Source organism: Homo sapiens, chromosome 10 (assembly GCF_000001405.40).
Source record: "Homo sapiens chromosome 10, GRCh38.p14 Primary Assembly".
Classification (NCBI taxonomy): domain Eukaryota; kingdom Metazoa; phylum Chordata; class Mammalia; order Primates; family Hominidae; genus Homo; species Homo sapiens.
The window spans coordinates 68,164,147-68,191,462 of NC_000010.11; the positions used below are offsets into that span (position 1 = coordinate 68,164,147).

Consider the following 27,316-nt stretch of genomic DNA (forward strand, 5'->3'; position numbering starts at 1 on the left):
ATTTTTAATAAAGAACAGGGATTTATTTCTTACAGTTCTGGAGGCTGGAAAGCCCAAGATCAAGGGGCCTGCATCTGGTGAGGGCCTTCATGCTGTGCCATTCCATGGCAGAAGGCAGAAGGGCAAGAGAGCAAATGCGCAAGAGAAGGGAGGGAGAGAGGGGGCCACTCTTACTTTCATGACGAACCCACTCCCAAGATAACAACATGTATCCATTTATTAGGGCAGAGGCATCATGACCTAAACACCTCCCTTTAGGCTCCACATCCCAGCACTGAAGCATTGGGGATTGTTTCCAGCACATGAGCATTGGGGGACATGTTCAAATAGCAATACTCAATACTACCTGCCATGCCCCACTGGCCAGATTTCCTAGAAACAGTCTAGTTAATTCAATTCAATTATCATGAAGCACTGAGATGCCTGCCAAGTTTCTCCTAATGCAACTATTTTTTAATAATTTTGTTTTTAATGTCAGTTCAATGGAGTGATAACTGGAGGTTTATGCTGCTGTCTTATACCTCCTCTTTATTAGCTGTCAAGGAATATCTAACTTTAATAATTTTGGACTGTAATCATGTGGTTCTACCTGGGAATCACCTCTGTAGTTATTCACAGAGAATCATCGTTCACAGTGTATCAGAGTAATCCATAAGAATTACCACAGTAATACAAAAGTAGAAATGCATTTCACTCTTCTTTCACACAGAATTTCAAGTTACTCTATCAGCTCATTACTACTAGTAAAGCAAAATATTTATTTGTTGTCCAATTTTAAATTGTGGTCCTTGTTTAAAATAATTTCAATGCAAAAGTTCCCCAAGGAAATAGTGAGAGATCTAGGCTTAGAAAATGTTTTATTAGTCCTTTAATTTCACAGAAACTTCCTTTTCCTTTGACTCCTAATTTGTTTTTGTGATTTTTTAAGTTTATTGTTATACATTTCTATTTTTGCCATCTGTACTGATGACATAAAAATAGAAGATTATCTGAGAATCCTTATTTTTACAAAATCCCCTTGTCAGGCCGGGCATGGGGGCTCACGCCTGTAATCCCAGGACTCTGGGAGGCCAAGGCGGGCAGATCACCTGAGGTCAGGAGTTTGAGACCAGTCTGCCAACATGGCAAAACCCTATCTCTACTAAAAATACAAAAATTAGCCGGGCTTGGTGGCACATGCCTGTAGTCCCAGCTACTCGGGAGGCTGAGGTAGGAGAATCGCTTGAACCTGGGAGGCGGAGGTTGCAGTGAGCCGAGATCTTGCCACTGCGCTCCAGCCTGGGCAACAGAGCGAGACTCCACCTAAAAAAACAAAAAAATCCCCTTGTCAGTACTTGGCCTGTCTGCATGGAGTTATTGTTTCTACATTCTTTGACTCATTTTGCCTACTAATCAGTCAATTCAATCAAACAATTGTTTTGACCAATTGTTTTCAAAGAATTAATATAGCCAGCTTTTTATATTGACTTTGTAGAATCATCATCTGATACCAGTAAATTCTATAATTCTGTTTTCATAATGAAGTCAGTAACCATTCTGTTTCACTGGCATATAGAGGAGATTTGCACCTTGGTCATTGCTGAGGTGTTTGCAGAAGATTCTGGGTGCTTCACATGTACTGCAAGCAACAAATACGGCACAGTGTCAAGCATTGCACAGCTGCACGTGAGAGGTAAGGACTCTTTAATGCTAGAACAGTTTAGCCTATGACTTTGAGTGTGAATATGCAGATTTTGTGTTTCCATTCCTTCCTGTTTTTCATACAAAGCTGGCTTGGCTCTTCTAAAAAGATTTGAATTATTGAGGAAAATGTTCTTGAACAGTGTCCAATTTTCAACTTCTTATTGCGCTTACAGCCACCACCCCAGTTAACCTGCTGTCATCACTATATTTCCTGAGAACATCTCCTCAATAAATTTCTAAATTTCTTTCCAAAAGGGTACTTAGATTTTAAATTTAGTTTTTTATTTTTAATTTAATTTTTTCCTGTATCCTTACCATTCTTTAATGCCCAGATGATGATCTGTTTTTGACAAGCATTTTCCCATTCATACATTCCTCTGGTGTGAACACTTTCCCATTTGTGCACATGCCCCAATTCAGGCTTACAGTGGCTGACAGCTCAGGTCCTGTGATTGTCCTTTCAGGAAATGAGGACCTCAGCAACAACGGGTCTCTTCACTCAGCCAACTCTACCACCAACCTGGCAGCTATTGAGCCACAGCCCTCCCCACCCCACTCAGAGCCTCCATCTGTGGAACAACCCCCCAAACCCAAACTCGAGGGGGTTCTGGTGAACCACAATGAGCCCCGGTCCAGCTCCAGGATTGGGCTTCGTGTGCACTTCAACCTGCCTGAAGATGACAAAGGAAGTGAAGCATCCTCCGAGGCTGGTGTGGTGACCACCAGACAGACCAGGCCCGATTCTTTCCAGGAGAGGTTCAACGGACAGGCAACAAAAACCCCAGAGCCTTCTTCCCCCGTGAAAGAGCCCCCTCCAGTTCTGGCCAAACCCAAACTGTAAGTAAAAAGTAGGATGAATAACCAGGAGCTTCTGTGATCTTTTCTTGAATCTGATCTCCTTAAAAGTAATGGAACTCAGCTAGGCACAGTTGCTCACACCTGTAATCCGAGCACTTTGGGAGGCTGAGGCAGGAGGATCGCTTGAGCCCAGGAATTCGAGACCAGCCGGGGAAAAATAGTGAGACCTCTGTCTCTAAAAGAAAAATTTTAAAGTAAAAAAATTAGCAGGCATGGTGGTGCACACCTATAGTCCTAGCTACGTGGGAGACAGAGGCAGGAGGATCACTTGAGCCTAGGAGTTTCAGGCTACAGTGAGCTGTGATCGTGCCACTGTACCCCAGCCTGGGTGACAGAGCAAGACTTGTCCAGGAAAAAAAAAGATGGAACCAAAAAGGGGAATTCCCAAATGAGAAAATACACATTAAATGTTTTGCCAAATGTACATCCTTACATCAATAGAAGCATGCTATCACTATTATCCTTAATTAATAATCTACCTCCAAGCAATGTTGCACTTAAACTAATTCAGAAACATTTGTCTGACATTCTGACATCAGAGTCCCCAGGTAAAGTACTTCTGTGCTTCTCTCATAAAGACTTTTTTTGTGTCTAATCGTCTTTACAGTCTGTAATTTCATCCTTATATTTCCCATTTCTGCTTCAACTTAAGCTTCTGTAGTCATTATGGAAAAACTATTTAGTAATTTTTAGATAGTTCCTAGCTGCAGCTGGATGAATATAATAGGATGAATAAGTGGTCATGATTTTCTGACTCAACTCAGGAGCCTACTGTGGTTGTTGCCCTGACTCTCTAGAAAGCCATGTTGCAATGTTTAAAATGTCCATCCATAACAAAGCAAATAAAGGGCATGATATTGCTATTATTTCCTGTTTCATCCACACATCAAAATGATAAAAAAATTGTTTCTAATTACAGAAACCTTTAAATATCAACATCAAAATCTACAGTCCCAGTGCACCCACTGTGTGTTGCTCATCACCATGAGATGTTCACTAGAAGCCATTCGTGTTTAGTTTCATATTCTGCTCACCACTATATAAGGCAAAATTCTGGACATAAGATTCAATGTTGTGAAACATGCCTCTAAGCAAGTCACATCCAGAAATGTCAGTCCCCTCAAAGTCCTGTCAGTCACAGGAAACAGGAATCCACTTAAAGTAAAAAGAGGGGAAGAGGTTATTGCAGGGATATAGGCAGAAATGGGTAAACCAAACACAACCAAATCCTGCAGGAGAAGAACTAGAGAGGCGGGAACTGGGCCTTTTCACCTGTCACTCAGGATCACAGGTCAGTCCAGCCTCTGTCTGATGGAGCTTGCGCGGCTGGTTCGCCCTCTGTCTACGTGAGCATCTCCTTGTTTCCTCTTTACTTATCTGATCCATTCTTCTCTCTTTGAAGACCCATCAGCTCATAAGTGGCCCATCATGGCCATGTCCCCATTCCACATCATGATCTGTGTCAAGTACCACTGTTAACTAAATCAGTCTCAGCCCCTCAACTCCCAATTCTATTTGGTTCAGGCTGATCAGGTGACCTCCTGCCCCCTCCCCAGTACACTCAACTGTTAGAGGATTTATGTTTGGAAGAAACTGGGTGGGAGAAGTTCTCAGAGAAGGGAGTTACAGGGAACAGGTAACCCCAAACAACCTCCTGGGGAATTGCCTCCTTTGTAGGACTGTCTCTTCCCCAGTAACAGTTTTAGGGGCCGTTACATATGATGATGGAAAAAAAATTCTGCCAAAATATTTAAAGAGGTTTATTCTAAGTCAATATGAGTGACTGCGGCCCAGGGAAATACAGTCTCCAGAGGTCCTGAGAAAGTGCACCCAAGGCAGTCAGGTTGCGGTTTGGTTTTATGCGTTTCAGGAAGACAAGAATTGCAGGTAAAATCATAAATCAATACAAGAAGACAAACATTGGTTTGGCCCAAAAAGGCAGAACATCTCAAAGCAGGGACTTACCAGTCATAGGTGGGGCTGGGGATTCTATGGCTGGCAATTGAAAGAGTTAAGTTTTGTCTGAAAACTTGGAGTCAGTAGAAAGGATTGTTCAAGTTAAAATAAGGGAATCCGCTGTTTGTCATGTGATGCCATGCCAGAGTCGGGATGAAAAGAAAACCACCATACACGGGGTCAAAAAGGCCTGTTTCAAATTAGCCAGGTGTGGTGGCGCGTGCCTTTAATCCCAGCTACTCAGGAGGCTGAGGTGGGAGAATTGCTTGAACCCAGGCACAGAGGTTGCAGTGAACCAAGATCGCGCCACTGCACTCCAGCGTGGGCGACAGAATGAGATTATTTCTTAAAAAAAAAAAAAAAAAAAAAAAAAAAAAGACCTGTTTCATGAGATTTTATGGCTTGTAGAAGTGACTTTCCGGCCAGGCATGGTGGCTCATGCCTGTAATCCCAGCACTTTGGGAGGCCAAGGCGGGCGGATCACGAGTTCAGGAGATCGAGACCATCCTGGTTAACACGGTGAAACTCCGTCTCTACTAAAAAAAAAAAAAAAAAAAAAAAAAAATTAGCCAGGTGTTGTGGCGGGCGCCTGTAGTCCCAGCTACTTGGGAGGCTGAGGCGGGAGAATGGCGTGAACCCAGGAGGTGGAGCTTGCAGTGGGCCAAGATCGCGTTACTGCACTCCAGCCTGGGCAACAGAGTGAGACTCCGTCTCAAATTAAAAAAAAAAAAAAAAGAAGTGACTTCTCTCTCTAGGCCCCTTAGAATAGGATTTGAGCATGGAAAAAGGTCAGAGTTCAGTCCTCAGGTACGTCGGTTAGGATTAAGTTGAGCTTCACTTTGCAGACAACCCAAACTAACAGGGTTTAAATACTTGAGGGTTTATTTTCTCTCACATAAAGTAGACAGGGAGTCTGGGGCTGTGATGTGGGTTCCATGGTCATTAAGAATCCAGTCTCCTTCTGTCTTTCTGCTCTGCCATCCCAAACACTGGCTTCTTCTCCAGGTCCCCTCATGGTCCAAGACGGCTGATGGTGGTCAAGTCACCACATCTACAGTTCAGGCAGTCAGAAGGGACAATGGGCAGAAGTCATAGCCTTTTTTTTTTTTTCTCCAAGATGGAGTCTTGCTCTGTCACCCAGGCTGGAGTGCACTGGCGTGATCTCAGCTCACTGCAACTTCTGCCTTCCGGGTTCAAGCAATCCTCCTGCCTCAGCCTCCCGAGTACCTGTGATTACAGGTGCACACCACCACGCCTGGATAATTTTTGTATTTTTAGCAAAGAAGGAGTTTCACCATGTTGGCAAGGCTGGTCTCAAATGCCTGACCCTGTGATCTACCCACCTTGGCCTCCCAAAGTGCTGGGATTACAGGTGTGAGCCACCCACCGCACCCAGACAAAAGTCACACTCTTGATGTTAGAATCCCTTCTAAGGAGACTTCTTAGAGGTTTCAACCAAAATCTGCTTCTGCCTCTTTGGCCAGAATTTAGGCAGATGGGACACTAGTTGCAAAGGAGGCTGGAAGTACAGTCCCTAGCTGCACATATTGCCACCATGAACAAAATCGGGTTCTTTTACAAGGGGGGAATTAAGTAGACAGCAGTGCCTGCCACATGAGACTTCCAATTAATATAAGACGTCTTTCTACTAAATCATGTAGTGACACCCTCTAAAAACATAGTTCTCAGCACTATATAATTCTTTAATATTCTTTGCCTTCCTTTTCTCTTGTATATATGTATATGTTTACATTAGTATAGATATGAATATATATATTCACACCACATACACATACACCACACCCTTTGTAAATCTACATGCCTACAACCTTTTCTTACTAGTTTTAACCTCATTAGTTTAACCTCACAACTTTGCATTAAAATATATTGACTCAGTCTTCTCAAGGATACAATTTTCTGCTTGTTCCTTCAATTTGCTATTCATATGGAAAATAGAGATAATGTAGATCTTAAAATTGCTACAGAAAGGGAAGCTGTCATTTTTAAACCTTGTATCATCAAAGCCTGACTTTGAAATTTCAGATTGAATATTAAGCTGTCTAGAGCAGTGATTCCTCACCCTGGCTACACTCTAGAATAAAATGTGGAGCTTTTAAAAAACATTTATGCCCTCCAACTCAATTGAATCAGAATCTCTCCACAGATTATTTTAATGTGCAGCCAGTTTGGAAATCACTGGTCTAGAGTTAGAGAAATAACCCCGGCCGGGCATGGTGGCTCAAGCCTGTAATCCCAGCACTTTAGGAGGCCAAGGCAGGTGGATCACTTGAGGTCAGGAGTTCTAGACTACCCTGGCCAACATGGTGAAACCCCGTCTCTACTAAAAATACAAAAATTAGCCAGGCATGGTGGTGCATGCCTGTCATCCCAGCTACTTAGGAGGCTGAGGCAGGAGAATCGTTTGAATCTAGGAGGCAGAGGTTGCAGTGAGCTGAGATCATGCCACTGCACTCCAGCCTGGGTAACAGAGCAAGACTCTGTCAAAAAAAAAAAAGAAAGAAAGAAAGAAAAAAGAAATAACCCTGAGAGTTGCTACTATTCCCCACTCCCTACCACCCACCCGCTATACCCAGGAAAACACAATAATTAACATTTAAAAGTGAGATAATGTCAGACAAAAGTCAGAATATACTAGGAAAGCCTATGCTTTGGGGCCAAATGTTTCTTTAGGGCAGCAGTTCTCAGTCCTGGATGACTGTGAGAATCACCTGGGGCTTTGTGGTTGGCAGACCCGCTGCATCAGCATCACCTGGAAGCTTGGTTGGAATGCAGACTCCCAGGCCCCACCCTACACCTGCCGAATGAGAAACTCTGGGGATGGGGGCCAGAAACCTGTGTTTTAACAGGCCCTCCAGAGGATTCTGAGGCCCAGTAAAGTTTGAGAATGACTGACCTACATTTGAAAAGATAATAATAACTCTGTCTGAATTCCATCCCAGGTAAATTAACTCTGAGCAGGTGCCTAAAGCAGCAAGGTTCATTTGTCTTTTACAGTCTCCAGGTGATTCAAATGTGCAACCAGCACAGTGACTACTGCTAAAACCACAGCAGATTTACTCAGAACTAGTTTTCCAAGTCAGTGATGCACTGGCAAATGTTTAATGACTGACAGGGGTGAGAAAGCCCTGATTTTTAGCATTTGCACCAATTTCAAGCTACTAAGAGAAAGTCATCGAATGGGTAGTTGAGATGTGCACTACCTGTTCTTCAAAGCCAGTGAACTGGCTCCAGCACACACTGCCAGAAATTGTCATTGCCAAAACTGCTTTCAAAAGTACTTGATACAGTATCTCAAGTTGGTTGTCTGGCATTTTATCTTAAGAATTCAAAATCCTTAATAATTTCTTTTATATTCCTTATAATGCAGAGTCTTTGTGTCCCAAAAGCAACACATATTTCCAAAGAACATAAAACCAGCAAGGCGCTTGCCTGTAATTCTAGCACTTTTGGAGGCCAAGGCGGGCAAATTGCTTGAGCTCAGGAGTTTGAGACCAGCCTGGGCAACATGACGAGACCCCCAACTCTACAAAAAATATAAAAAATTGCTGGGTGTGGAGGCACGCACCTGTGGTCCCAGCTACTTGGGAGGCTAAGGCAGGAGGATCACTTGAACTCAGGAGGTTGGGGCTACAGTGAGCCGTGATTGTGCCACTGTACTCCAGCCTAGGTGACAGAGTAAGACTCTGCCTAAAATAATTAAATAAATAAAAATAGAATAAAGAACATATAATTAGTGGTCCTGAAGCACTGTGATCTCACTTATGGGTCTTCCCGTGGTTACTCATTCAACAGTAGATTCTCCTAAACATCAAAGTTTGACAGCCTTAATGACTTTATGCATATATGATTTTAAGACATTTTTGTTGCACTTTCTTTGTTAAAAAATAACTCTTTTGTGAAGAGAAATTCAATAGACCATTGAATTCAATGGACCATTAAGGCAAATCACGTGATGCCTCTGTGACTCAGGTTCTATAAATGGAGAAACTGCTTCCAGTTTGATCTTTCTCCTTTTAGGAACAATAAAAGTCTAAGGCAAGGTTTATAATCAGGGTGAGCATATAATCATCATTCAAATTAGGACATTTCTGAGAGTGAAAGTGAGTTCTATTAATAATGATGTCAGGGCCGGGCACGGTGGCTCGCGCCTGTAATCCCACCAGTTTGGGAGGCCAAGACGGGCAGATCATTTGAGGTCAGGAGTTCAAGACCAGCCTGGCCAAAATGGTGAAACCCTGTCTCTACTAAAAATACAAAAATTAGCCGGGCATGGTGGCAGACACCTGTGGTCCCAGCTACTTGGGAGGCTGAAGCACAAGAATCACTTGAACCCAGGAGGCAGAGGTTGCAGTGAGCCAAGATCGCACTACTGCACTCCAGCCTGGGCAACAGAGTGAGACTCTGTCTCAAAAAAAAGAAAAACAAAAACAAAAATAATGATGCCAGGAAAAGATGTTAAACCAGGACCTTCCTGAATGTATGGGGACATATGGTCACCTTATCTATAAAGGTTTGTTATCGCGAGAGAATGAGAAACCTCTCTGAGACACATCCGGCTTCTTTGTTAAGGTCGGCTCTAAAACAAGGCAGAGTGGAGAATACAGCATGTTCTCATGGAGAATTCAGCCCTTTTCAGTAACTCACACTGGCATGTAGCTCAGTGCCTTCTGTTCTGAAGCTGGGATACTTTCCTCTGGTCATCAGAACTTTGAGCACTGCCTACAAGAGAAACATTGTCTCTATTTCTCTTTTCCAATTTATAAACTCTTTGTTGCACAACTCCAAGGTCGCAATACAAAGAATACAGTGTGAAGGACGCCCTTGGAAAGAAGGAAAGACAAACTCACCAATTATTGATCAGCTGATTTCTTGCCACTCTGGTTGTGTGTTCTTTATCAACATCAAGTTATTTTATTTATTTATTTATTTATTTATTTATTTATTTATTTATTTATTGAGATGAGTCTCACTCTGTCACTGAAGCTGGAGTGAGGTGGCAAGATCAGGACTCACTGCAATCTCCGCCTCCAGGCTCAAGCCTGGGATCTCAAGTGATCTTCCTGGGATCCTCCTGGGATCACTAAAGCAATCCTCCCACCACAGCCTCCTGAGTAGCTGGGGCTACAGGCGTGCACCACCATGTCTGGCTAATATATATGTATATATAATTTTTTTTTTTTTTGTTAGAGACGGGGTTTCACCATGTTGCCCAGGCTGGTCTCAAACTCCTGGACTCAAGTGATCCACCTGTCTCCGCCTCCCAAAGTGCTGGGATTACAGGCATGAGCCACCATGCCCCGCCTATCATCAAGTTATAAACAGTCTGTCTGAACATTGTTTGAAAGGTGAGGCCAATAATAACACATTTCCTTCTCTCTCTCCACCCTTGTTTTGTGTACAGTGATTCCACTCAGTTACAACAGCTTCATAACCAAGTCTTACTGGAACAACACCAATTGCAAAACCCACCTCCTTCATCTCCTAAGGAGTTTCCTTTCAGCATGACTGTTTTGAACTCCAATGCTCCCCCAGCGGTGACAACATCCAGTAAGCAGGTGAAGGCTCCTTCATCACAGACGTTCAGCTTGGCCCGGCCGAAGTATTTCTTCCCCTCCACGAACACCACCGCAGCAACTGTGGCCCCTTCCAGCTCTCCGGTGTTCACTTTGAGCAGCACTCCTCAAACTATTCAGAGGACAGTGAGCAAAGAAAGCCTCTTAGTGTCTCACCCCTCTGTGCAAACCAAATCTCCAGGAGGGCTTTCCATCCAAAATGAGCCACTCCCACCAGGCCCAACAGAACCAACACCACCACCATTCACATTTTCCATCCCCAGCGGAAACCAGTTTCAGCCCCGCTGTGTGTCCCCAATTCCTGTCTCTCCTACCAGCCGGATTCAGAACCCAGTGGCTTTCCTCAGCTCTGTTCTGCCTTCTCTCCCTGCCATCCCACCCACAAATGCCATGGGGCTGCCTAGAAGTGCACCATCCATGTAAGTGTCATTGAGGTTTCTTGATGTAAGATGCTAGTTAAGAGTCGATGTGCACATTGAATAGCTTGATCTGAAACAGGGCTCTCATTTTGTGGATTCCTAGATAATCTTATTCTCTTAGGCACAGAATGGATGTGGAACACTTCAGGACAAAGGGGATGATTACTTTGAATGATTATTAATAATTAAAATATCAGGCTAGGTGTGGTAACTCATGCCTGTAATCCCAGCACTTTGGGAGGCCGAGGAAGGCAGATCACTTGAGTTCTGGTGTTTGACAGCAGCCTGGGCAACATGGTGAAACCCCCGTCTCTAGGAGAAGCACAAAAAATTAGCTGGGCGTGTTGGTGCATGCCTGTAATCCCAGCTACTCAGGAGGCTGAGGCAGGAGAATCATTGAACCCAAGAGGCGGAGGTTGCAGTGAGCCGAGATCACACCACTGCACTCCAGCCTGGATGACAGAGACTCTGTCTCAAAAAAAAAATTTTTTAAATTAAAGTATCAAAAAGACCTTTACAAATACCGATTCTCTGCACAGGGCTTAATTCCCTAAGTGCCTAATGACCGCTGGTTTCTGGTTGTCATTTCAACCACTCTGATTTCTAGGCCTTTTTACCCTGGCCAGTGCTTTTCATGGGTGTGTCAGGTGTGGATTTATCTTACAGGCCATCCCAGGGATTAGCGAAGAAAAATACAAAGTCTCCTCAACCAGTGAATGATGATAACATTCGTGAAACTAAGAACGCAGTGATTCGAGACTTGGGGAAAAAAATAACTTTCAGTGATGTCAGACCAAACCAGCAGGTAAGATTGTTGGATTTAGAAGGTTTATTGAAATTTTATTGTAAGGAATTTAATTTTGCTTGATTCAGTCCTCGGATACTCAGGTAACCTCAGTGAGGCTGATGTTGCAGCTCAGATGGTAGAGCACAGACTAACCAAAGGTCATGTGAGAAACCTGCCTGTGTGGATCTGCGGTTCGTAATTCTCCCAGTAGTTAACTCAGTTTACTTGTTTACATGTATTTACCCAGAATAGGATATATTAAAGAAGAGAGTAGACAATCTATTGCGCATCCCAGCAATCCTCACCTCAGTTTACAATCTAAACTTTTTTGAAACAGGTCTCGATCTGTCACCCAGGCTGGGGTGCAGTGGTATGATCACGGTTCACTGCAACCTTGACCTCCTGGGCTCAAGTGTTCCTCTTGCCTTAGCTTCCCAAGTAGCTGAGACTACAGGCCCAGCTAATTTTTTTAATTTTTTGTAGAGACAGGGGTCTTGCCATGTTGCCCAGCCTTGTCTCAAACTCCTGGGCTCAAGCAATCCTCCTGCCTCAGCCTTCCAAAGTGCTGGGATTACAGGCATAAGACACCACACCCAGCCTATGACCTAGACTTTAAGGAATTCTGGGGTTCTAAGCTGTCTAATCTTCAATCTAATGTGCTTAAAAGTTTGATCACCAGTACCTCTCAATCCTTATATTAGGTTGAATCATGTGAAATAGCCATTAGGCAACATCCTGTTGTTCATCCTATACAACTCTTTGCTTTCTAGTAAATGCTTACACCAAAGGAAAAAGAGGAAAGCCACCTGTGAGCATCATTCAAACAAAAGAAAGATAGACTGAACGTTTTCTTATTTGAGGCATTTATTTTTGCTTTTGAGAATCCAGTGGTTATTTTTAATGCAGGTTTACATTATAATAATCTAACTCTTGGTTTATTTCCCAAGATTGGAACTGATAAAAATATTACAAAATTTCAGTCAGTACAGTATGCCAAATATTGTGGAATTTGTGGACTCCTAGAAACAAAGCTCTCGACTTCCCAGACCATATGCTGTTTTCCTTAGTGTTTCTGTCTCTTACTTCCAGTGGAGCCATGGATATATAGTAATTCGCAATTGTGTTATATATTGAGCAACTTATACTGAGTGGATTCTTTTGAAAATGTGCTTCTTAAAATCTTTTAAAAATTCACTTAAAATTATTAAGGAGAATATTTAAACTTGCCATAACTGAGTATACTTTTCATGGATTATTTCACCAAATTTCATCTATTTCTGGGAGGCAAATGCCAACGCTACTATTCTTCTCTTCCATCTTCTAGACAGAGAAACTAAGGCACAGGCTCAGTAGTGGAACTAGAACTAGAGCTATGGTTTCTAGGATACTCTCACATTTTCCCTGAAACGCTGCAGTGTTTTCAGTTTTACAGAACAGTTACCTTCAAGCTCTATACATGTTGCTCTGTCTAATGCAGATTTGTTTTCCTATAATACTGTCACCACACTTGTGGTTGTTAATCCTTCTAAGTGTCATTGTAATTATAGCTGTATTCAGCCTATGTCTTTTACAACTCGGAGAGAGAGCAATTAGAGCCTTGTAAAAACAATGCTAGCTTGCACATACGCTGTTTGATTTTACTTTTATAGTTACTCTGTAGGTAGATCCAGGATACCCCATTGCCCAGCTCAGGGGAAAGAAGGGTTTTTCTCTTAGTTACCTGACATGTGTGTACATGTAAACGTGAAATTCCACAAGTTGAATGCCATAAACCCAGTAGAAATCTCTCTTAAACCTCCATCATGAATTAACTTCTGGACTAATCGCAGGAACTAGGAAAGTCTCTAAAAGCACCTCAACACTCTCCTCTGAATATTTGTGACATATGTCATTCTCCTGAGAATTATTATTCTGAGAATTATTGCAGTTGGTTAATTACAGAATTGATCTTAGACTACATTCCATGCCATGGATAATGAAATCCAAGCTGCATAAATGAAATTTGGGAAACTGGGAGCTGTCTGAGATGGAATGCTTGCATTTGGATGGCAGATGTTGACTCTGAGGAAGTTTTGGGAAATAAAATGATGATCATATTATAATATTGTTTTATCCATTGCTGTCTTCGGAAATGATAGTAAAAACATCATGAAGAACTGTCTAAAATATACTGTGACCCACGCTGGTGAAGTTAAGAAGAAAGTCAGCTTAGGAAAGTGTAAAAACACTAGACAAGCAGAGAAAGATTATGAAGAGACCCCTGTGTATTGATAGTCGTCTAGGCCTGCAGTCCGGGGTCACAGGAATGAAAATAATCTGTGTTCTCATTCCCATATTAGCCTACACATGTGGGAATGGGGTGCAAATGATTCCTTCGGAAGAGTATGCATTTGTTTTGCTTTGAAAACTTTTAGGTCCAGAAAGCTGGGTTCTCTTGCCCTATTTTAGTTCTAAGTAAATAAAGAATACACTGTCCTAGAACATTTGCATGATCTAGCATTAACACATTGTGCTGAGCATGAAAATAAATCAGAAGTCCTTGAACAATGAATATTACTGACTATAAACAATTTTCTCCCCAGAACTCAAATTTATAAATTATGTTTTAAAATGTGTTTTCTTTGATGTATCTACCACTTTGTGTTTCTCTGTTGTGATAGTTCAGTCTTTGCCTTTTAACTCATCTTACGTATTTACAATTAGCAAGTAACATTTGTAGATTCTTAGAACCTTTTGAAATGAGAAGGTGCCATCCTTTCAGAGGCTCATATTTATTAAAATTTTTAGCTTTCTAAACTTACAACAAAGTGTCTTTGAGTTGGGGATGAGCCAAGAGAAAGGTTTCCTTATTTCTAGATTTTTAGGCTGCATCATTTGCTATTTTGAAGAGTACCATTCATCACCAGTGGATCTTGACTGGACATCAATAAATCCTAAATGGTTTAGGTTAGAATGGTGAATCTGAAAAGTCAAAGGAATCCAGGATCACGGCCGGGCATGGTGGCTCAGGCTTGTAATCCTAGCACTTTGGGAGGCCGAGACAGGCGGATCACTTGAGGTCAGGAATTCAAGACCAGCCTGGCCAACAGTGAAACCCCGTCTCTACTAAACATACAAAAATTAGATGGGTTTGGCAGTGGGTGCCTGTAGTCCCAACTACTCGGGAGGCTGAAGCAGGAGAATCACTTGAACCCAGGAGGTGGAGGTTGCAGTGAGCCGAGATCATGCCATTGAGCTCCAGTCTGGGTGACAGAGCGAGACTCTGCCTCAAAAAAAAAAAAAAAGGAATCCAGGATCACAAAGCATAATGGAGCTTTCATGACAAATGATTTTAATTCATACATGACTTAGCATGAAGTTCTGCACCCAGTAAATATTTGTTGACTAGCTATGTTGACTGAGTGTTAATTTCTAATCTCCATTTCCCACCCCTCTACCCCCAGCTAATGTCTTATTCCAACTTTCCTCCTTGACCTCATTTCTCTGGAAACTTTCCCATCTCGTTATTTGGTCCTCTCACACCCCCTGCTTTTTATTATTATTATTAATGTTTCTTTTAAACTATCTGCAGTTTCCAGATACTGCCCTACGTGACAGAGGAAAAAAAAATAAGTACCTCCTAATTTTTGTTCTGCCTTTTGTTCCTCTAATCTCCTTCTTCTCTGAACTGTTCTGTCAGTTCTTCTATTTAAGTCTTTCCTCTTTCATCTCTTACCATGAATTCTTTATGACAATCCTCTTTTGTGAGCCGTGAATAGTCATGCCATTCATTCCCTTTCTAACAAGAATTTCACATTGGCCTTACATTCTACTTTGTAAGGCCACTGGCTTTATGCTGCCCACTTTGGGCATTTCAGGACCTTGGCTGCTGGGATAGTGAAGTGTCTCTGTATCCTCTGCCATGGACCCACACAGAATGCACCAGTCAGGAGCAACCTGGGGGCTCAGACTGGGCGGTGTCTTGTTCATTGCTGCATCCCTGTTGTGCATGGTGCAGAGTAGGTGCTCAGTGAACATTGCTGAATCAACCCACGACTATGGGATTTACATTAGTTTCAGAAAAGGTAATAAAACTGTTAACCAAGTAGAAAAGTTTGGATTTGTTGCAAAACTATGGAAAATAGTTCACTTGACTATATAGATTCTGATTATACCTCATTATGGATACTACCCACTATGGTAACAATCCAACTTAATTAGCTGATTTTAAAAGATGAAAACTTTTTTATTTTTTTGAGACAGAGTATCACTCTGTCACCCAGGCTGGAGTGCAGTGGTGCGATCTCCACTCATTGCAGCCTTGACTTCTCGGGCTCAAGTGATCCTCCCACCTCAGCCCTACCCCCAGTGGCTGGGTCTACAGGTGCAAGCCACCACACCCTGCTTATTTGTAGTTTTTTTAATAGAGAGGAGGTTTCGCCAAGATGAAATCTTTTAAAAACACACAGAAATTAAACAAAACTCTTGTGTTAACCAAACATTTAAGTATAAAGTAAATCTGTGCATCTTTTAATAATTCTTTATTCTTAAGTACAAAATTGGATTGAAAGTATTTTTAGGTAAGCTCCTTGAAGGTAGAGTCTGTGTTTTGCAGAATGTTGTATCCCCATTGTCTATCACAGTGTTTAGCACATAATAGGTACTTACTAAGAATTTGGCAGCAGAGACAGGGTAGGCTATGATAACTAGTTATTTCTACTGAAGGCAACAAGTGATGTTAGATAAATGGCAAAATAAATTATCTTCTAGTTATGTTAACCTCCAAGTTTCTGTCACCCAGGCTGGAGTGCAGAATGCAGTGGCGCATTCTCTGCTCACTGCAACCTTCAGCTCCCAGGCTCAAGCAATTCTCCCACCTGAGACCTCCAAGTAGATGGGACTACAGGCACGTGCCACTACTCGTGGCTAATTTTTGTGTTATTTGTAGAGATAGGGTTTCACCATTTTGCCCAGGCTGGTCTTGAACTCCTGAGCTCAAGCGATCCACCCGCCTTAGCCTCCCAAAGTGCTAGGATTACAGGCGTGGGCCACTGTGCCCGGCCTACCTCCAAGTTTATTTAAGAATCCTTTCTTCTGTCTCTAAACTCTGTCTGTCTCTGGAAAGAAAAGGAGAACACTTTCTCTAACACACAGTGCTTTCTTTTACTGCACATCATACCCAGAATCTGTTGGGAACACTTTGAGCAGGTCTTCTAGCTGGCTTGATCCTGTTTGATTATTTGCCCCTGAAGTCCAGGCTCAGGACCCAGAGTAGAGAAAGCCCGCGGTGAGCTCAGGCAGTGACTGTTGGATCATGGCCCATACCTCAGCAGTGCCATATCCAATTAGGATGCATCATTACATTATGGTTCGCAACAGAAAAACTGTCTCCACCAATTGGAAGGAACTGCCAATTTGAAGAAACTTTTTGCTGATGTGTCCCAGAAATCAAATGTTTCAAGTTGTCAATTTATCAGCCTGAAGAGGATTATCTTTTTTAAAAAAATGGTTATATTTTCAAGTGGCATATTCTTCTGAAGTAAATATTTTTAGCTTTTCATTTCCTTTCATAAAGCAACTCTAATTCTATGCAATTCATTAGCCTAGAGAGGATGGGTCATTTCTCATTGATTTAATTTCTATAACACCCAGATTTACACAGAAAAAATATTCTTTCCTTTGAGTGTAGACGTCATCTATGAGCAGCTAACACAAAAACTCCTGTTTTTACTCACAAAGGAGATGAGGCAAGGGAAAATGGAGAACACGGCATAAACCCAGTACTGGACATTTAAAATGGACATTTACAAACAGTGGATTGATAGTGAAACATTTGTGCAGAACAGTGCAGAAAATACCTTTACATTTAATTTTAATTTTTTTTTTTGAGATGGAGTCTTGCTCTGTTGCCCAGGCTGAATTGCAGTGGCATGATCTCGGCTCACTGCAATCTCCGCCTCCTAGGTTCAAGATTCTCCTGCCTCAGCCTCCTGAGTAGCTGGGACTGCAGGTGCTCGCCACCATGCCTGGCTAACTTTTGTATTTGTAGTAGAGATGGGGTTTCACCATGCTGGCCAGGCTGGTCTCGAACTCTTGACCTCAAGTGATCCACCTACCTCAGCCTCCCAAAGTGCTGGGATTACAGGCATGAGCCACCATGCCCGGCCTAACTTCTGCTCCTGATTCCTTCCTTTCTTGATCTTGAAAGGACCTAAGCTGATGCCACATTGACTTTGTTTTGTCTGTGGCCTACAGATGCATGATGGGAACCACAGCACACCCTCTGCCCTGACACACTGTCAAGGCAGCCTTCCACTTTGCCCATCAGCAAAAAGCCAAGCTTGCTCCTCACTCTTTAGATTTCTCAGGCAGGGGGCAGATGGCAAACCCCTGTGTCCTCCTAACTGTAGGAGGCATAGCAAGCTCTCCAAGCTCTCCGATGGACCCTGGACCCTCTCCAAGAGGGTCCATTTAATCTCCCTCGCTAAACTTGAGGTGAAACAAGTACCCCAGGGTTAGGGGTGGAGGTAGGCATCTCACAGACATTAATGGCTCTCTCCAAAGTCCTCTTGCTGGGTCTTCTCCCTCCTGACTCTTGAGTCTGTGATGAAGGTAAAAGGTTGAAATCATCTAAGCTGTCCTTAAGCACCTGCTTTGAAATTTCTGAATAATAATGTGTCTCAAAAGTCACTTGTTTTCTGATATCTAGCCCATCTTGGTGCCTCAGTAGAAACTTCTGATTACAATCTAGTTACAAGTGTATCCTCACTACCTGGTTACTAATGTTATATATATATATAACACATATATATATAACATATATATAACACACATATATATATAACATATATATAACACACATATATATATAACATATATATAACACACACATATATATAACATATATATAACACACACATATATAACATATATATAACACATATATATAACATATATAACACATATATAACATATATATAACACATATATATAACATATATATAACACATATATATAACATATATATAACATATATATATAACATATATACACACACACACACACACACACACACATATATATATATGGCATTTTTTTTTTTGAGATGGAGTTTTACTTTGTCGCCCAGGCTGGAGTGCAGTGGCATGATCTCGGCTCACTGCAACCTGTGCCTCCCGGGTTCAAGTGATTCTCATGCCTCAGCCTCCTGAGTATCTGGGACTACAGGCACTCGCCACCATGCCTGGCTACTTTTTTGTATTTTTAGTAGAGACGAGGTTTCACCCCATTGGACTGGCTGGTCCCAAACTCCTGACCTCAGGTGATCCACCTGCCTCAGCCACCCAAAGTGCTGGGATTATAGGCATGAGCCACCACGCCCGGTCTCTAATAGTATATTTTTAAAAACTCATTGAGTTCTCTGTTTTCATGACCTCTCAACTTGGAGTACTGGTTAAGATAATAAATTTATAGCCAAGTGTGTATTTACTATACACATTTATAGTCAAATAAAATGCACATATTTTCATCATATTGCTTCTGTAGTTCCTTTGGCTAAATCAATTCAAACATTTAAATTCTGTAAAATCAGGCCCCAACTTAAAATCAAGTTCCTAAAATTGTTTGTTTGGAATACATAGAGACAATGTGGTATTTATATTCTCAGGCAGGTGCTTAAAGCTATATATAACCCATTGTATTTCTGAAGTATAAGTATAATCATAACTTACCACCATGTATAATAATATTTCTCTGCGGCCAGGCACGGTGACTCACGCCTGTAATCCCAGAACTTTGGGAGGCTGAGGCGGGCGGATTGCTTGAGCTTAGGAGTTCAAGACCAGCCTGGACAACATGGCGAAACCCCATCTACAAAAAATACAAAAATTAGCTAGGTGTGGGGGTGCTGTGTGCCTGTTGTCCCAGCTATTCGGGAGGCTGAGGTGGGAAGATGGCTTGCGCCCAGGAGGCAAAGTTTGCAAGGAGCCAAGATCACACCGCTGCACTCCAGCCTGGGCAGTAGAGCCAGACCTTGTCTCAAAAAAAAAAATTATTTGGAAAAAAAAATAGTTCATAATACAGAATTTCAGGAATTCATCTTTCCCTGTAATAACTCTAACAGTGTAGTTAGCCAAGAACTTACCAGTTCTCCCCAGTCAGGCAATAGAAGCTGCAGAAAAGGTTCTTTAGCTTGTAGCAAGAACTCTGTTAGAATAGGGGCTAGAGGTGGTATGGATGGATTGGAAATTTGAGGACATAATAAAACAAGATAAGAAGCCATAGAAGGTTAAGACCTCTTGCTTATTGAAAACCCCCAAAGGCCAGGTACAGTGGCTTAGGCCTGTAATCCCAACACTCTGGGAAGCCAAAGTGGGAGGATTGCTTGAGCCCAGTTCAAGACCAGCCTGGGCAATATAGGGAGACCTCATCCCTAGAAAAAAAATTAAAAATTAGCTGGGCATGATGGTGCATACCTGTGGTCTCTGCTACTTGGGAGGCCAAGATGGGAGGACTGCTTGAACCCAGGGAGTTGAGGCTACAGTGAGCTGTGATCATGTCATTGCACTCCAGCCTGGGTGACAGAGTGAGAACCCTGTCTCAAAAAGAAAAAAAAGAAAATCCCTCAGAATACTTCTCCATTTTGGGCTGGCTCCTTGGTTACTCCCTTTATTTTATTCTATAGACCTCAGGGACTGGTATTCTTGTTTCTCTTCATCCATCAAGTTTTTCTTTTGTTCCTGGTAATTTGGATTCAGATACGTAATATCCTGATACAAAGCAAGCAAAGCCTTTGTAAAGGTTTTCAGGAATAACTGGAAACAGACTATGTGAGAGTAAAAAGAGTCTGATATCCACCTTGATATGCCCTTTTCTTCACATAGTCCCATAGGAACAAGGGCCATTCGTAGAGAATTGGTAAAAGGATCGGATGCATGAATGACCCAAATAAGATTTACCAGAGTAAACACGAGGAGTCCAGAGTAAACCCAGATCCTGTGTTAACTGTTGGAGGCATTTTTTTTTAGACGGAGTTTCACTCTTGTCCCCTAGGCTGGAGTGCAATGGCACGATCTTGACTCACTACAACCTCTGCCTCCCGGGTTCAAGTGATTATCCTGTCTCAGACTCCCGAGTAGCTGGAATTACAGGCACACGCCACCACGCCCAGCTAATTTTTGTATTTTTTGAGGCATTTCTTTAAGGAACTGTGGCAGGACATGGAAATGAGATAGGAGCAGAGGAAACAGGAATGGAATGAGGGCGGGCAGCAGACAACAGCAGGGTTGGGTCTGGGGAAACAGCTGCAGCCCCAGTGTCAGGGAAGGGACAGGTTGGGAGACGAAGCCTTGGAGCTTTCTCTTCTGACTTTCGGTGCCTGTGCCCTGTCCTTGGCTGGCCAGCACTAACCAGTCCTGGGAGTATGCTGAGAAGTGGGGGCTGGAAATGGGAGGTGGAGGACCAGGATCTGTAGCATCGAGAGAGGAAAGAGGAGAATCTCTGGTGGGTGAAAAGGAAACATCTGAAGCCACACAGCCTCCCCATTCCTGTTAACCATTTAAGGGTGGATGGCTATAACTTGGTGATGATGGAAACTGGGACTTCCGGCCGGGCGTGCTCAAGCCTGTAATCCCAACACTTTGGGAGGCCAGGGCAGGTGGATTGCTTGAGCTCAGGAGTTCAAGACCAGCCTGGGCAACATGGTGAAACCCCGTCAGAAAGAAGGAGGGAGGGAGGGAGGGAAGGAGGGAAGGAGGGAAGGAGGGAAGGAGGGAAGGAAGGGAGGAAGGGAAGAAGTGAAAAGAAAAGAAAGGAAAGGAAAGGAAAGGAAAAAAGAAAAGAGAAAAAAAGAAAGAAAGAAACTGGGACTTCTGCTTGCTTTAGTCTTTGTTTCTGAAAAATGAACAGAAAACTCTGAAAAGCACAGATTAGCTTTTAGAAAACAATAACATTTTCTTTATGATTTACCCATAGCAAGAGTCCCCAGCTAATTCCCTAGTGGGGGCCTCCAGGGTGGGTGCCATCCACATACCCTCCCCAACACCCCCTGCCACGTACAGGCTCAGTCAGCACCTCTAGGCACTCCTCCTTATGAGCACAGGCACCCAGTCCACACCCCTCCCCACCAATGATCACAGAGCCTGAAATAAATGGAGAACAGCCACCCTCATGAAAAGTTTGGGGTCTAGGATCTGCATGTGGAGTGAGAACTATGTGAATTATTCATTTTGAATGTAATTTGAAAATAGTAAATAATAAAATGTAGCACCTATCTCACATGGTAAGGGAATAAAATGATTTATTGGTTTACTTCTAAACATCCTGGAAAATAAACCCAAATTTATTAAAAAGAAAAGTAATATCAATTTAGAATCATATCAATTTAGAATCATGAATACAATCCAACAAAGAAAAAAAATATCCTGGTGTAATTTTAAACTGGCAAGTCTAGAAAATACTTCAAACTTGTGAGACCATTTAATATATTTCTGGAAAATGTAGTCATTGTGAAGAATTAGGCTGAATCATATGAAACTTCTGATAGTCTACAATTGTTGACCTACAAAAATGTCAGTTTCACATGGTTCTACCTAACAGGTGGATAGTGGAAGCTTTAATTGTTAACTTTTCCCAAAAATATTCCTATAATGTAGGAAATAATCTTAATATATTTCAACTAAATCTGGTTTCAGAATCCAGTAACAATCTTTTACTTTAACTGATTTGAATGATCTCATTAAAAATTAATAAGCTTTGCTGGATGTTAATCACTTTTTCCACCCTATAAGAACTGTGTACTTACTTTTTTTTACCCAGTTTGAGACGAGGCAGAGAGGAGCAGATTTAAAATTGGTTCCAGTAAATTAAAACCAAGAAACACTTGGTTTCTGTAGTTCCAAAGTTAAAATTCTATCCAAATTCAGATGATTATATTGAATGTATAAGGCAGTAATTAGAGAACATCACTAATGTGATTTAGCTTGAGAATGCTTGAGTCCTGAACTCAGTTACTCTCCCGCTGACTAGGGGCAGGTGCATATCAGCCACATGATTCCAAATTCCACTTCAGGAGCATCCCAGTACCATCTCCATAGAGCTCCCCTAAATTATAAAATTAGGGTTAACTAGAGTCATAAATTTAACCAAAGGTCTCACTCTCACCCCAAGCACATGGCTCCAGATTCCCCAAAGATGTGTTAATGTCAGAAAAAGTGATTGCTTCTATTTGATTCATGTATTCACTCATTCTTCAGATCTTATTGAGCGCTCACCTGCCATGGTGCAGGTACTCTTCTAGGTGCTGTCAATATAGGGAGAAGGAAGACAAGATCCCTGCTCTAGCGGAGCTAACATTCTAACACTTGAAGATTCAATCATTCAATCAATAAACAAACAAGAAAAATACTAGATAGTAACCAGTGCTATGTAGAGAATTAGAATGGGGAGTTACATTAGATGAAGGGATCTGGGGAGGCTGCTTTGGGGAGGTGACATTTAAGTTTGATGGGCAGGCTATGGCAGGGAGAGGGAGTAAGAGGAATCCAGGATGAGTCCTAGATTTAGGGTTTACTTAGTGCTGTCAAAGTGTGGTCCGAGGACCTGTGCCAGCCTGCAAGATGTCACCTCTCTGCCTTGAGATTAGCACAAAAATTAAGAGTAACCATTCAGGGCTGGGCATGGTGGCTCACACCTGTAATCCCAGCACTATGGGAGACTGAGGTGGGTGGATCACTTGAGGTCAGGAGTTCGAGATCAGCCTGGCTAACATGGTGAAACCCTGTCTCTACTAGAAATACAAAAGTTAGCTGGGCATGGCAGAGGGCGCCTGTAATCCCAGCCACTGCACTCCAGCCTGGGCAACAAAACAGAGGGAAGACTCCATCTCAAAAAAAAAAAAAAATAGTAACCATTCAGAAAATTTCATAGAAATTTGACAGGGAAGTTTTATATAGTATACAATAATTTTGCATTTCTTTCATTTGGCTAGTAATTTGTTTTTATTTTACTTTACAAAAGTGCAGCCTGGAAATTTTTAAAACCTGATTTTCATGGTAGACAGTGTGAGAAACATTGGTTTAATCACTCAACCAAGTGGTGAATAGTGGTGCCATTTCCTGAAATGAGGAAAAGTAGGTTACAAGTATCTCTTGGGGACAGAAATCAAGCATGTGCTGTTTGAGCCATCCTGTCTGAAATGCCCATTAGACACCATAATGTAGAGTAGTAGTATATGACTCTGGAATTCTGGGAAAGAGACCAGGCTTGGAGATATGGATTTGGGAGTCATCAGCAGAAAGTATCTGAAGCTAGGAGATTGGATGAGCTCACCTAGAGCAGAGGAGCACAGGAGACTGGTGCAGTGAGAGAAAGAGAAGGAAAGACCAGTATGGTGTGTCACGGAAGGAAATGTTTCAAAAGGAAAAAGTAGTCATCTGTGTCTAATGCTGCTTAGATCAAGTAAGGTAAGAATGGATAAATGACAATTAGATGTGGCATATTTGGAGACCCTACAGTAGCAATCTCAGAGGAAGAAAAAGAACACAAGACTAATTGAAGTAGGTTAGCAAGAGAATAGGTGACAATGAAACAATCTCATAACATTAGAGGATTATTTCACATGGTTTTGTTGTGAGGGGGGCAGAGAGATGCAGTGAAAGCAGACATGGGGTTAAGAGAGATTTTTTTCTTTTTCTTTTCTTTTTCTTTGACACAGAGTTGTGCTCTGTTGCCCAGGCTGAATTGCAGTGGCATGATCTCAGCTCACTGCAACATTTGCCTCCTAGGTTCAAGCAATTCTCATACCTCAGCCACACCAGTAGCTGGGATTATAGGTGTGCACCGCCACACCCAGCTAATTTTTGTATTTTTAGTAGAGACAGAGCTTTTCTGTGTTGGCCAGGCTGGTCTCGAATTCCTGGCCTCAGGTGATCCACCTACCTCAGCCTCCCAAAGGGCTGGGATTACAGGCGTGAGCCACCATGCCTGGCCTCTTTTTTTTTTTTTTCTATCATTCTTGTATTGTTACAGTAGAGATATATTTTTCAAGACAGGTTTTCCTCAAGTGTGAAGATGGAAAAATCCAGTAGAGACAGGAAGCTGGTGATGCAGGCATGTATCAGAATGCAGTTCAGAATGGCTTTGCCAAAATAATGCTATAGGAAGTTTTCCATATTGAAAGGAACACTAATAGTAGCTCTGAAAATTATATTCCATCTACATTCCATTTCCTACAGAATTCTCCTGGGGCTGCATGCTCAGGTGGAAAATCAGGATTCACTAAGGCCGTGTGGGATTTTAGGAGAGACACTGACATTTCCTTTAGTGCTCCATGGTGAGAAACTGGATCTGGAACATACCTGGTTCATTTGGATTTCATGGTATAAATCTAACGTCTGAATCTTAAAAAGTGGCTTCCTCAATTGTACTGATGGACATGTTCTTCCTTGCCATATGGAAATTGAAACACGTTTGTCATTTTGACAGGAGTACAAAATTTCAAGCTTTGAGCAGAGGCTGATGAATGAAATAGAGTTTCGCTTGGAACGTACTCCTGTTGATGAATCAGATGATGAAATTCAACATGATGAGATCCCCACGGGCAAGTGTATTGCTCCCATCTTTGACAAGAGACTCAAGCACTTCCGGGTCACAGAAGGCTCTCCAGTTACATTCACCTGCAAAATTGTTGGGATACCTGTTCCAAAGGTAGGGAAGATGACAAGCCAGTTGGCCACCTCACAGCATGAAGCTATAGACAGTGCCTTCAAGAAGGTCTTTAAAAAATATACGCAATGTTTTTTCTTCTTTTTTGTATTTGTTATTGATATAGTTGTACATGTTTTAGGGTATATGCAATATTTTGATACATGTATACAATGTGTAATGATCAAATCAGGATAACTGAGATATCCATCACTCAAACATTTATCTTTTTTGTGTATTGGGAACATTACAGTTTTTCTCTTCTAGCTATTTTGAAATATACAAGTTATTATTAACTATAATTTTTCCACTGTGCTATCAAGTACTAGAACTTATTTCTTCTATCTAACTGTGTGTTTTTACCCATTAACCAACCTCTCTTCATTCCCTTCTCCCATCTATCCTTCCCAGCCTGTGGTAACCACCATTCCACTCACCACCTCCATGAGATCATTTCCTTTAGCTCCCACATGTCAGTCAGAACATGCAATACATGCCTTTCTGTGCCCAGCTTACTTCACTTAACATAACGACTTCCAGTTCCATCCATGTTGCTGCAAATGATGGGATTTCATTCATTCTTTTTATAGCAGAATAATATTCCATTGTGTATAGATACCCCATTTTCTTTATGTATTCATTCATTGATGGACACATAGGTTGATTCTGTAACTTGGCTATCATGAATAGTGCTGCAGTAAATACAGGAGTGCAGATATCTCTTCAACATACTGATTTCCTTTCTTTTGGATATATATCCAGCAGTGGGATTGCTGGATCATATGGTAGTTCTATTTTTGGTTTTTGGAGAAAAGAATCTCCATACTGTTTTCCATAGCAGCTGCACTACTTTACATTTCCACCAACAGTGTATGAGGGTTCCCCTTTCTCCGCATCCTCACCAGCATTTTTTTTTGTCTTTTTGGTAATAGCCATTCTAACTCTGGTGAGATTATATTTCTTGGGGTTTGATTTGCATTTTCCTATTGATTAGTAATGTTGAACATTTTTTCATATACCTGTTGGCCATTTGTATGTGTTTTGAGAAATGTCTATTCAGGTCTTTTTTGTGTGTGTGTGTGAGACAAAGTCTCACTCTGTCGCCCAGGCTGGAGTGTGGTGGCACAGTCTTGGCTCACTGCAACCTCTGCCTCCCAGGTTCAAGCAATTCTCGTGCCTCAGCCTCCTGAGTAACTGGGATTACAGGTGCCTGCCACCACACCTGGCTAATTTTTGTATTTTTAGTAGAGACGGGGTTTCACCATGTTAGCCAAGCTGCTCTCAAACTCCTGACCTCAGGTGATCCACCCTGGAGGCCTCAGCCTCCCAAAGTACTGGATTACAGGCGTGAGCCACCACGCCCAGCCTATTCAGGTCTTTTGCCCATTTTTAACAGTCTTTGTTTTTGTTTTTGTTTTTTGCTATTGAGTTGTTTGGGTTCCTTATATATTCTGGTTAGTAATCCCTTGTCAGATGGATACTTTGCAAATATTTTCTCCCATTCTGTAGGTTGTCTCTTCACTTTGTTAATTGTTTCCTTTGCTGAGCAGAAGCTTTTTACTTGCTGTAATCCAATTTGTCTATTTTTGCCTTTGTTGCCTGTGCTTTTAAGGTCTTACCCAAAAAAAAATTTGGCTAGACCAATATCCTATAGTGTTTCCCCATTGTTTTCTTCTAGTAGTTTCATAGTTTCAGGCCTGGCACTTAAGTCTTTAATGTATTTAGACTGGATTTTTTTATCTGGTGAAAAGTGAAGATCTAGTTTCATTCTTCTCCATATGGGTATTTAGTTTTCCTAGCACCATTTGTTGAAGAGACTGTCCTTTCTCTCAATGTATGTTCTTGGCGCCTTTGTCAAAAATGAGTTGGCTATAAATACATGGATTTATTTCTGGGTTCTCTATTCTGTTCCATTGGTCTATGTGTCTATTTTTTTGCGAGTACCATGGTGTTTTGGATATGATAGCTTTAAGGTATAATTTGCAATCAGGTAGCATAATGCCTGCAGCTTTGATCTTTTTGCTCAGGGTTGTTTTGGCTATTTGTGGTCTTTTGTGATTCCATATGAATTTTAGAATTGTTTTTTCTATTTCTTTTTTTTTTTTCTTTTTTGAGACAGGGTCTTGCTCTATTGCCCAGGCTGGAGTGCAGTGGTGAGATCTCTGCTCACTGCTACCTCCACCTCCTGGGTTCAAGCGATTCTCCTGCCTCAGACTCCTGAGTAGCTGGGATGACAGCTGTGTGCCACTATGCCTGGCTAATTTTTGTACCTTTAATAAAGATGGGATTTTGCTGTGTTGGCCAGGCTGGTCTTGAACTCCTGGCCTCAAGTGATCTGC

General features: G+C 41.9%; 1 protein-coding gene across 12 annotated transcripts in view, besides 1 other annotated feature; it reads left to right on the top strand.

Annotated features, from left to right (window-relative positions):
- MYPN (myopalladin) overlaps nt 1–27,316 on the top strand; it is a 124,121-nt gene that overhangs the window by 76,250 nt on the left and 20,555 nt on the right. For 11 of the 12 annotated variants that reach the window (NR_045662.4, XM_047425879.1, XM_017016834.3 and 8 more), the window contains 5 exons: nt 1,556–1,672; nt 2,148–2,520; nt 9,920–10,510; nt 11,177–11,315; nt 24,759–24,980. Coding sequence is in view for 10 of the 12 variants with exons in the window: in XM_047425879.1 (XP_047281835.1) it covers nt 1,556–1,672; nt 2,148–2,520; nt 9,920–10,510; nt 11,177–11,315; nt 24,759–24,980 (1,442 nt within the window). In the remaining 2 variants the exon portion in view is untranslated. The remainder of the gene's footprint in view (nt 1–1,555; nt 1,673–2,147; nt 2,521–9,919; nt 10,511–11,176; nt 11,316–24,758; nt 24,981–27,316) is intronic. The other variant, NR_045663.4, reaches the window with a different exon arrangement.
- Nucleotides 20,446–20,740: a silencer, noted in NCBI's record as "tiled region #5989; HepG2 Repressive non-DNase unmatched - State 4:PromP". NCBI's record gives its function as "represses a minimal TATA promoter and a strong SV40 promoter by Sharpr-MPRA in HepG2 cells {active_cell/tissue: HepG2}" and the evidence as "EXISTENCE:reporter gene assay evidence [ECO:0000049][PMID:27701403]".